The sequence below is a fragment of the Homo sapiens genome, chromosome 20 (assembly GCF_000001405.40).
Source record: "Homo sapiens chromosome 20, GRCh38.p14 Primary Assembly".
Taxonomy (NCBI): domain Eukaryota; kingdom Metazoa; phylum Chordata; class Mammalia; order Primates; family Hominidae; genus Homo; species Homo sapiens.
The window spans coordinates 22,524,191-22,536,404 of record NC_000020.11 but is presented as its reverse complement, the minus strand read 5'-3'; the positions used below and the strand labels follow the sequence as shown (position 1 = coordinate 22,536,404).

Below are 12,214 nucleotides of genomic sequence, written 5' to 3'. Positions count from 1 at the left end.
AAGGGTCTTCCAGAAAGGAGGGAATGGAGAAACCTCAAGAACGTTTTAGGCAGAAGCCAAGAGAGGAGACCTTTAGGAGAAACGGAGGGTGCTGGACAGTTTCAGAAGATCCAGAGAGAAACTGAGAAAGGGCCACTGAATCAGACTATTGTGAGCCATTGGCACCTTTGGTGGGGTTAGGTGGCTGGTGGCAGAGGCTGGAGGGGAGAATGAGAACAGAGGGAATAGAGTCAAATAAATGCTTAGCTTAGAAAAGAAATACAAACATATATATGTGTATTGAGCAACATTTAAGGCTGCTGTGTAGAGCAAAGCATGTTATCTCATTTAATACAACACATCCAAAGCATGTTATCTCATATAATACAAAATATTTTGCAGTTGAGTAAACTGAAGCTCAGAGAGGGTGCAAGACTTGCTCAAATTCACATAGCTGGTAAAAACGGAATTATCTTAGACTGACTTAGGCTTAAATTCTAAATCCAAGACCCTTCTCTGGTCCAAGCCTCTATAAGCCTCTGAATTCTCTGGGTCACAGTTATAAAATCTCCAATAGGAATCAGCTCTGAGCGTGGGAGGCTGGAGGGGGAAGCCAAGCAGACACTAGCAAGATGAGCAGGAGGGAAGATGCAGGGTCATGAATCGAGGCCACAGGTCCATTCAGGCCCAAGTGTGGGAGGCATGGATGCAGGGAGCAGAGACCCCACACATGGTTTACCAGAAGTGTCTAAATTCCAAAACAGGTCTCAAAATTGAACAGAGCAAGTAGAGCAGTGTTATTCTGAATCAGCCAAGTTATCACGCTTTGCTCCGTGGGGTAAGCCAGCTAGTGGCGAAAACTGTAAGGGGCTGGGCCATACTGGCAATTATCCCCAGTGATCATGAGTGAGTCAAAGTGAGGGTCATTGGGGGATACTAGACAGATAGTGAAAAGGGGAGACTTGGGAAACCTGGACGCTTACTCAACTTACTGGACAAGGCAAGGCCACAATGCCTTTGAGAATCATTGCAGAAATGATTCAGAAACAGTCAAAACCAAGGCACACTGTATACTTTATACGATTTGGTGCTCAAAACAAACCAGTAAAATTTGTGTGATGACCCTGACTTTATATAGAATAATACTGATGCCCAGAGAGGTTGAGCATCTAGTCTAGGATCACAGAGATAGGAAATGGGGAAATTGGAATTAAACTGAGACTCCCAAGTTTAGGAAAAGAGAGAGGAGCTTCTGATGTCAGAAAACTTCTTAAAATTGTTCTTTTCCCTTCAGAGATATAAACACCAGAGAAGACACTGACTTAAAATTCAGGCTGCCTATTTGGGGTTGGGGAAGTCATTTGGAGCAGGAAGACTTAGTCTATTGATTTCCTTGATTCCAGATGCCAGACTGACACCCTGCTGCTCCCTGGATGTCACTGGAATCACTCTCAGAAGTCACAGAAACGTTGGGTAACCGAGGGACTGTGTCTCAAGGCAGCAGGATGATTATGGTGATGTGTGTGCCACCAGTGCGAGTGTGGCTACGATGTTCTTCATCTCAAAGAATGCCATGGACAACTCATGCGATGGCTCCCCATGGGAGCTGGATTCCAGTTCTGCAGGACACAAGGCCTTTCTGGCTGGCTTTCCAAACATTAGGCCTGGAGAATAACTTCAAGTCCCTGGAGAAGGCTTTGTTCTTTCCCTGCCCCTGGCCTTTGTTCTTGGCAGAGCTAATTAGGCTTAGTGGTTAATTGGCCCCAAAGTGAAGGCAACAATGGCAGAAGCCCTGGTGGCTTCCTCTGCCGGCCTCTCCTCTGCCATGAAGTGGGTAATCTGGGCTGGGGTCTTGGATTCTCAGCTCTTCATCCAAGTTATTTCTTCAGCCACGTGTACAGAATTCTGTCTCTTGCTAAACTCACCCGTTAACGAAGACCATCATCACTGTCTTCAGAACTGGGCTGGAGAGAGCTGGGACAGCTTTCATAGTCTATGAGTTGTGACCACCAGGACTCATTTGGAAAAAAAGCTTAAGTTTTTTCTGTTTTCTGCACTGTAAATTGCCTCTCTCTGTAAGGGTGGAGAAAGTAAGGAGACAACCAAGGTCCCTCAAATGCCATGTGAAGACATTTTATCTTATCGTGTCCTTAAAAGCTCACGTGGCAGGGCCCAGGCTTGTCTAAGCTCAGGAGCAGGCATGCATGCTGCCAGGTGTCCTGGCTGTGAGCTGCAAGTACACACGCCCTCAGTCTGTGAAAAGGTCCATTGTCATCTCTACAGACTGGGCCACAGCTCACTCCCCAGCTCAACCTCTGAAGGTCACCCAGCCCCAGTTATTTGTGGACTCTGGATCATAAGAAAGGCTCCTAGGGATTTTGTAGCTTTAAGTACTTCCTTTTCTACTGTGAGGTTCAGAGAGGCCAAGAAATTCTTCTGAGCGCACAAAGGGGTAACCGGGACCCTGACGCCCTATAATTTTTATCAGGAACCCAGCTAGCCTTGGCCAGCTGCCATCCACAGACATGCAGAATGGATGCAAGTGCCTCTAGGCAAAGCCATCAGGGTTTTGCTCTGCTGCTCTTACTTCTCATTCTTCTCCCACCCCAAATCTCTAGGGCGTGTCTGGAGTCTGGTTTCCTTAATCAATTCACATTGAGGGACCAGAGACGATGCATTCCAAATCTTGAAAGACCATAAACTCTAAAGGTTAAGATGAAGTTGGGGGATCACATAGCCTGGATTGGAATGTGTATTTTACTGCTCACTAGTCATGTGATCTTTTTATGCCTCAGTTTCCTCATCTGTAAATAGGAATAATAGAGCTTAACTCCCAAGGCAGCTCTGAGGATTAAATGGGTTAATATGTGTCAAATGCTTAAAACAATGAGCTGTTATTATCTTTGCCTTTCAAAAGTAGGATATCTAGTGGTGTAATTCTAAGAATGGCTCCTTGAGGGTAAAAAGCTGTGGAGCAAGGGCCTTCTGGGATCCTGCAGTCACAGTCTAAGATTGTCTCAAGAAGTTGTACACCACAGGCCACCAATGACAAGTCCCCTACTCTGTTTTCTGTTTTTTCTTCCCCCACTGGCATTTTCCTGGATGTTTTGTCTCTCTAGGGTGATAAATTAGCAAGTACTACTGACTAACCAATTTTGATAGGATTTTCAAAAGAATAAGAATAGCCAGCCACTCTATAGGGACTTACCATGCAAAAATTTTTCTCACTATGTGACATGCAGTCTGCAAAATGGCCACCAATGATCTCTACCTCCTGGTATTCACAGCCGTGGGTAGTATCCTCCTTTTGAGTAACTTACTTCTGAAAAAGAGAATATGGGAACATTGAGGGGGTGTCTATGATTAGGTTACACAAGACTTCAGTCTTGCTAGTGCATTCTCTCTCTGTCTCTCTATCTCTCTCTCTCACTGTTTAATGAAGCAAGCTGCCATGTTAGAGAAGAGAGGGCAGGAAGAGACTGGGGCAGTTTCCAGTTCATAGCCTGTAAGGGACTGAGGCCTTGAGAAACTGACTCTTACCAACAACCACGTCAGTGAGCTTGGGTACAGATTGTTTCCCAGTTGAGCTTTCAGAGGAGACCCTTGGCCATCATCTTGATATGAGACACCATGGAGCAGAGGATCTGGCTAAGCAGGCCTGCTTTGCAACAGAAACTGTGACGTAAATGTATGTTAATCAAGCCACTGACAGGTGGAGTGATGTGTTACACAGCAAGAAGTAACTGATGGCACACACTAGATTATCGGATTTTATTCCTGCATCATTTTTCAGAGAGATCAACTAACTCCTGCCAGTTCACACAGCTAGTAAGTTGCAGACTAAATATCTGAACCCATATCACAGCTGCTTCTCAGAAGAGGCTACAGAATGTAGGGTCAAAGATTATCTCCTAAGATTTTTGTGCATTTTAGCTTTGGTTTTCTAGAATGATTCCCCTGCTTTCATTGTTTGATATAAAGAAGAAATGAATATCCACTGACTGCCAACCCTTTGCCAGGGACTTTGCTTATGTACTCCAATCCTCCCATGATAAGGTGGGCATCATTAAACCCATTGTACTGTCTTTCCCAGAGTGGGTTTTCCAGACACTGATTCCTCAAGGTGCTCCATGAAAAAAAGGTTCCACAGCTTAATGTGTTTGGGAAACACTGGATGCCCCTCTTGGAAACTGACTTTGCATATGAGTCCCTTAAAGGCCCAGAGGAAATGCAGCAAAGAAATCTACCTAACACACATCCTAATTTTATGAGGCCACAGAAACTCTCATTCATGTAACAACAACACCCTAAGGAATATTTCATAAAATACACTTTTGAAAATACTGGCTTACAGGAAATTTTCCCTCTTGTAGTTTTCTTTTCAATCAAACCCCACAAAAATTTGGTCAAGACAGAGTAACAGTTTCTACTATATAGATAAGAAAACTAAGAGTCAGGGAGTTGTGAAATCATTGTCAAATATTGTTCATCTTGGGATGGTGGCCAATCTCCGCCTTATTTGATGTGATTGGCCACTTCTTTTTGTCTTCTTTCCTCCCTCCCTTCTCCCTCCCTTCCTCCTTTTCTCTCTCCTCCCTCCCTCCCTTCTTCATTCACCTCTCTTCCTCTCTTTCTCGCTCCTGTGGTCACAGAATACATTTTTCAGTAATTAAAAAAATATTTTTTTCTGCACCTGGTTCCACGGTGTCATCTGGAGGCCACTTCTCCTGCTCATTCTTTTTTGCCAAATTCCCCTCACATATCCTCGCCTATCCTGTTGGCAAATGGGTGCATTTCTGTCCACCTTCTGCCCACTCTGGCGCATTCTCCCTGGGTCACCATGTTCCTTTCAGAGCTTCAGCTCACCCCGGAACAGTGGTAGCTTTCTAGTCAAGCCCTTTTCCTAGGCCCTCTCTTGGCTCCAGGTCCTCAGTTAGCCCTACTTCTCATCAGGTATTCCTACTGAGGGACTCCCCCAGTGCCCCGAGTTCAAGCTCAGCTAACCACCCTCCCACACCCATCTGTAAGCCTTCCCTTTCATGTGGGTGCCGTTTCTGAGCTGGGTGACATCCAGTGCAGGAATGTGGGAGACATGCTGAATTCTTCCCTCCTAGTCAGTTCCATCCTCGTTTAAACCATCCCCCACCATGCTGGCCGGACGCAGCTTCTCCATTCCCATCTCCGCTGCCCTCATTCCTTATAGACTCCTCAGTGGCTGCTGGTCTGTTTCCTGTGGGGCACTGCCTTCTCACCACCACCCACCAGCCCAGCCTCCCAACTCATCCTTCCATGGAGATCTGTCCTCACTGGCAAACCTGACCTTACAGGCTCTCTTTGGCACCTTTGGGAGGGTTCCCCCTTATCTCCAGAATCTAGTCCCTGTTCTTCAACATGGAGTGTGAGGAAGCCCCTGCACGATCTCATCTCTGCTTCCTCCAGCTTCACATCCCAGAATTCCCTGCTTATTTTCCAGGGGTTCCATGAACTTGCCATTCTGTTTATAATCTCCCTTCCATCAGCATGGACTCTTCTTATATTTTTGTTCACTCACATACTTTATTCATTCTTCAAAACTCTGCTTGATAAGTGATTAGATGGTGACAAAACATTCAGCCTTGTAGTACAGTTTGGGGGAAAATTTGCAGTATGTACCAACAATTAACAAGAAAAAAAAAGTTCCTACATTTTGTCTCTGTAAATTTACCTCTGAGAATTCAGGCTTGAGAAAAATCGAATATAAGAAACATTCTTTAGAGCCAGAGATGTTCATTACAATGTTTTTTATAAAGAAACATTTTCTCAAAATTAGGATAATGATTAAGTTCCTTATTTAATGCTCACTAGAAAGTGAGGATTATAAAGGTGATATAGAAAAGTTGTTCTTGCTATAAATCTCAGTGACACAAACAAAAAGAAGGCAAATTATTATGTTTTATTATTACAACTGTTAAAGATGTGCAAAAAAGATACAGGAAAAAGCACCCAAAACATCACTGTGATTGGCTTAAGGCACTGGGATTACAGGAAGAGGTTTTCTCTTCCATTAAGAAAAAGTCTGTAGTGAGGAGTAGTGGTTAGGATCCCAGGGTCTAGAGCCAGCTGCCTGTGCTGGCTTCTGTGTGACTCCATTTCCTTATCTGAGAAATACACATCATAATAATAGTGCCTGTGTCATAGAGCTTTTGTGGGGGATTAAATGAGTTACTTTAGAAAAAGCTCATAGAATAGAGCTTGGCAAGTAGGAAGTGCCTAACAAATGCTGATTAGCAGTAGTATTGCATATCTACAGGGCTTCTGTCTCCATGAATTCCTGTTGGGTCAGAATGTGTCTTATTTATGTTTACCACCTCAGCTCCTGGTCCATAAAAGGACTTCAAGAAATATTGTTGCTAAATCTTTGAGTTAAGTACCCTGGAAGAATCTAAGGTTTTCCAAAATTCAAATGAGTACCGAGACTTCTCCCCAAGAAGTCTGTGGCCTGAGCCAGAAATGGGAATTTGAGGTCATTGGCAACCCTGGAGCAGGCAGAGGCAAAATTTCAGGGTGGCAACCTTGACAAAGTTCACAGCACACGACTGCCCTTGAATTATGGCTCTGCCGTCTTGCCCAGCTCCAGTTGAGAAGCCAGGAGTTTTCGCTGTGATCATCTGGATGTGACCCTGACTCTGGGAACACAGGGCAATTTACGGCTCTGTTGTGTGAAGCAGTTTAGGTGGAAGAAAGGGGTTAGTTCATCAAAGGCTGGGGGACCTGGCCACTGGCTCGATTTCTAAAATAAATGCCCCGACTCTGCCTCGGTTTCCTTATCTCTAACATCCAGCCCTCAGCAAGTGGTCTTTAGCTCTTCCTGACACATTTCTGGGGGATCATTTTGATTCGGGTTCATTTTGAAACATTCGATTCTCTTCCCCTCTCCCACCCCCACAAGTCTGTGGTCTCCAACATAAACTTCATGCTCTGAGGAAACAGGCTCTGTGAACCCAACTTCAAAGCTTGGCCATGTGAGCACCTTGCAGAAGTGCTGGAGGCAACAATAGGCTTTAGGCAGGGCTGGGTAGGGACTGCCCAGCGGGCACTCTTTAACCTGGCAACTATTGTGTTCAAAGTCATTGCTGCAGGCGCAATCGAACAATGCATTTGGCAACCCAGTCAGGTCAGTGTTCTCAGCTGAGCTGTTCTTGCCAGCATTGCAGAGCTGAGGGCCCTGGGTATAAAGCCTTCTATGACACTAAGTAAAAAGAGTAAAATCCTTTGTTTTTGCTTTTGTTAAATTTAAAAAGTAAATATAGTGTATATCCACATCAAAGGAAAAATTTACATAAGAGAAAATAAAAAATCTTCCTATAATCCCAGTCCCTGATCCAATCAGCTCTTTTGGGTACTTCTACTCTTTCTGTTTTCCTTAGGATTTAACACTTCTGTAACCAGTACATAAGAACTTGTCTCTTCGTTGCTTTTTTTACGGAGCATTTTAATAGGCATAAGATTGCTATATCATCTTTCCACCTATTTTTTAATGACTGGAGAGTATCTCCTCAAGGCAATGTGCCTTAACAAATTAACATTCTTCTGTTTTTGGAGAGTGGTGCCCTATTAAAATTACACTGTAACAAACATCACTGGACTATAACATGTTTTACTGGGTCAGATTTTTTTATCTTTTTTTTTTGTTTGTTTGGTTTTGCATTTTAGTGATGCTACCTTTATTTACTTATTTATTTTCCAAAATGGAGACCCCAACTAGATGTATTGCCACCAGACATGTGCAAGACTGCACTTTTCAGTTAAGGTGATTTTTCCTTCCAATATTTTATTATGAAAATTTTTGGGCCAGGCGCAGCGGCTCATGCCTGTAATCCCAGCACATTGGGAGGCCAAGGCGGGTGGATCATGAGGTCAGGAGATCGAGACCATCTTGGCTAACACAGTGAAACCCTGTCTCTACTAAAAAAAAAAATACAAAAAAATTAGCCCGGGTTGGTGGCGGGCGCCTGTAGTCCCAGCTACTCGGGAGGCTGAGGCAGGAGACGCGCTTGAACCTGGGAGGCAGAGCTTGCAGTGAGCTGAGATCACGCCACTGCACTCCAGCCTGGGTGACAGAGCAAGACTCTATTTCAAAAAAAAAAAAAAAAAAAGAAAAGAAAAATTTCAAACACACAGAGCAGTTGACAGGATTTTATAATGCACACTCATATAATAATTCAGGATGACTTTGGAGCTCAAATGTATGTTTGAAATGAGGACCAGAAAACTAGTAGAGAAATGTGTGTCATCCCTGGCTCTGTGGACAGTTCAAAAGAAAATTTTTTTTTTAAGTGTATAATTTTTCAGCTTGGGCGTAGTAGACATAATAAACATGGTAATTTATTATTATAATATGTTATAGCTTTCATATTTTTCAAAATGTCTTCAGATCTGTTTTCTTGCTTGATCCTCATCTTCAAGTTATAGACAAGGCAGGTGTTATCAGATATTATTTGTATATTTATAGGTGATGAAACAATGACCAGAGAGGTTAGGGGGCCTGTGTAAGTTTATACAGCAAAAGAGGTGGCGCTGCATTAACTGTGGGAAGCTCTCAGCTGAACCACACTTTTACAGAAATATCTCCCCTTTTCCTCTCCCCTTAACAAAGTCGACTGTCCTGTGAGAAAACCTGAACCTACATCATCACATCCCCACTTATTGTGGGTTTTCTTTTCTTTTCTTTTCTTTTCTTTTCTTTTCTTTTCTTTTTTTTTTTTTGACAGAGTCTTGCTCTGTTGTCCAGGCTGGAATGCAATGGCGTGATCTCAGCTCACGGCAAACTTCACCTCCAGGGTTCAAGCAATTCTCCTGCCCCAGCCTCCCGAGTAGCTGGGATTATACATGCCACCACACCCAGCTAATTTTTGTATTTTTAGTAGAGACAGGGTTTTACCACGTTGGCCAGGCTGGTGTCAAACTCCTGACCTCAAGTGATCCACCCGCCTCGGCCTCCCAAAGTGTTGGGATTACAGGCATAAGCCACTGTGCCCAGCCTATTGCAGGTTTTCTATAGCCCTTTTAGCGCTCTGATTCAGTGTGTCTGTGACTTTGAACCTTTTCAGGGCAGGAGGGCAGGAGATGTGTCATGGGTGGCCGGTACCACACATGCCAATGTCAGGGTGAAAGACCGGCCACAAAGGGTGCTCAAGAGCTCCACCCAATTTCAACACTTTTCTAAAGACACAATTTATCTGAAAAAGTAGGACTAATTTGGACAACAATTAGGCCCAACAAGTAAGTGTAAGCATGTGTTGGGTTTTTTTTTTTTCTGGAAAGAAGAAGCAGGGAGAATATTAATTATGTCTGAATGGCAATTCTGGAGGACAAGGGATTTACCCTGGAAAAGTAACCCCCAAACCACCTTCCCCAAGTCTCATGTCTGGGACTACCAAAGGCCCAAGATGTTGCTCATGGCTCAAATGTGATTTTTCGTCATTAATAGTGGTTTCTCTAGAATAGCTCAATGCTCAAAATAAAAATTTCTCTTCTTGGGGAGGCAGGTTTCAATGCTAAGGATCACAACAGAAGTAGGGCTGGGTGTTCACATCCGACATGGAAAAGTGCCCCGGGATTTGAGGCAAAAAATCTTTCCCAAATTTCACAGGCTGTGCTTCCCCAACTTCCTCCTTCCTTCTTTCCTTCCTTCTTTAGTTCCTTCCTTCCTTCTTTCCTTCCTTCCTTTCCTCCCTCCCTCCCTCACTCCCTTCCTTTCTTTTTCATTCTCTCTCTCTCTCTCTTTCTCTCTCTCTATCTCTCTCCCCCTCACCCACTGCTCTCTTTCTTCCTCTTTTTTTAGAAACACAGCCTGGCTCCTTTGCCCTGGCTGGAGTGCAGTGGCACAGCCATAGTTGACTGCAGCCTCAATCTCCTGCACACAAATGATCCTCCCCTCAGTCTCCTGAGTAGCTGTGACTATAGGAGTGTCCCACCTCTCCCATGTTTATATTTTGTAGCAAATGGGGTCTCACTATGTTACCCAGGCTGGTCTCAAACTCCTGGGCTCAAGCAATTCTCCTGCCTTGGCTTCTCAAAGTGCTGGGATTACAGGTGTGAGCCACTATGCCCGGCCCCAAATTCCTTTTCCTTGTTTCTCCATAGGAACAAGTAAACTGCCTCTATCCTTGTTCTCATAACACGTTGAACATATGCTGAAATTCCACAGCCCCCAGAGACATTGTCATTCCATTTTATGGATGAAAAAAATCGAACCTTGAAGTAAGTAAGACAATGGGAACTCATCCAGGAGAGATCCGGTCAGGGCTGGAGCCCACTCTTCTCCACTCTGAAACCCTTTCTTTACCCAGCTGTGGTTCCCACCTTGGCTACAAGGAGAGACTGTGCTTATGCACTCTGGCACTGCTCCAGCACGGTTTTATTTTGGACTCTGGCGCCACTCTTGTTCTGCATGCACATAACGGTCCTGGTCACAGCAACTCTTTGCTGGTGCGGAAACACAAGCCAAACCCTAGAGTCCGATCATGGGGATCCACCTGACTCAGGGACTCACCAAGGAGGCTGCACTCAAGGGCATAAGGCTTCCAAGATGCCTTCTATAACTGGACAGCTTTTGCTGCAAAAAGATGCCCTCTGCCCTTTGCATGTGCCACAGTAGGCAACCTCAGGACTTTTCCTTCCTTCCTCTTTCTTTCTTTTACTTTTTTTTTTTTTTTTTTTTGTAGTGAGACAGGGTCTTGCTCTGTCACCCAGGCTGGAGTACAGTGATGCAATCACAGCCCACTGCAACCTCTGCCTCTCAGGCTCAAGTGATCCTCCCATCCTAGCCTCCTGAGTAGATGGGACCACAGGCGTGTGCCACCACACCTGGTTAGTTTTTAAATTTATTGTAGAGATGAGATCTCTCTATGTTGCCTAGGCTGGTCTCAAACTTCTGGGTTCAAGTGATCCTCCTGCCTCAGCCTCCCAAATAGCTGGGATTAGAGCAGGGAGCCACTGTACCCAGCCTCCTCCTTTCCATTCTTCAGTCTCCAGAATTGCAGTTGTTCAACATGAAGAATAAAGAGTGAGTGCTGGAAAACCATTGGAAGTACCTTTATGATGGGGCCATCTGCTTGTATCTGCCCTTTGGAAAAATCAATGATTTTGATTTTTGGGCAGTTATTTAAGCCTGAAAATATTCATTAGAACACCACAGGGGAACAAAGTCCACCCTTCCAGCCCTCATCGATTTCTCTGAAGTTGGTTAGATGTCACAATTTCTCCAAACAGACTCAGGGAAGTTGACCCAGAGAACAGCACCCAGGACCTTGTGCAGCCAGCAGTGCACGGCTGCAAGAGAGATAGCTATTCGAAGCAGAGGCTTTCTTTTTTTTTATTTTTTATTTTTTAAAGACAACATGATTCTTCCCAGAAAAAAATATAAATCCTACAATGACACCCATTGGGCTGGTGGAAATTCAGTAGAGACAGTTTCATAATTTGGAACTTCGTAACTTGTGGCTTAATATATTGCCCCAAGATAAATTATGGAAAAGCTCCATGTATGGGATTGGTTATAAAATCCACTGCCAAACTGTCTTTCTCCTGGGGCTGGTGGGCTAAGAACCATAGCCAGGTCTCACAGATTAGAGAGCCCCCAGGGAGTGAACCTGGAATGCTGGTGACTCAAGAGAACTTGTAGGCCTACAAAAGTCCAGTGCCTCCCCAGAGAGCTGGGTGTAATTTTTCTCCTTGTTGGGAAGATCCGGGGCTCCTTGGGTGCCAGTCTAGCTATCTTTGTACTGACTAGCTAAGCTCTTTCTGTCAGCCAATAGCGTCAACTTAATTTTCATCATGTCATTATTTCCGTGGCCCAGACATGCCAATGGGACATCAAAATTATTTTGATAAGAACTTTACTTCGTCACTTAGGATTACAGCAAATTACACAATCGCTTTCCTTTCCCCAAGGAATCTCTGGCAGAAGAGAATAAAACCATGTAATCCAAGGCAAGGGGGAAGGGAACTAACTTTTATTGCATTTCTCCTAAATCCAGGTGCTTTACATAGATTATCTCAGATAAGTTAATCCTAGGCAACAACCCTATGAGGATTGTCATTTAACAAACAAAGAAAGGGAGATTTAGGGAGGTTGGGAAGGTTACCCAAGACCTCAGGACCAGAGCTGAAAAGCAGGCAGATGTGGGGCCAAAGTCCAGAATGTTTTCATTGACAAAGCACCAGCTAAAACACAGAATACCAATGACTCTTA

General features: G+C 44.3%; 1 annotated feature.

Annotated features, from left to right (window-relative positions):
- Positions 2,100 to 2,394: a silencer, noted in NCBI's record as "tiled region #10094; K562 Repressive non-DNase unmatched - State 24:Quies". NCBI's record gives its function as "represses a minimal TATA promoter and a strong SV40 promoter by Sharpr-MPRA in K562 cells {active_cell/tissue: K562}" and the evidence as "EXISTENCE:reporter gene assay evidence [ECO:0000049][PMID:27701403]".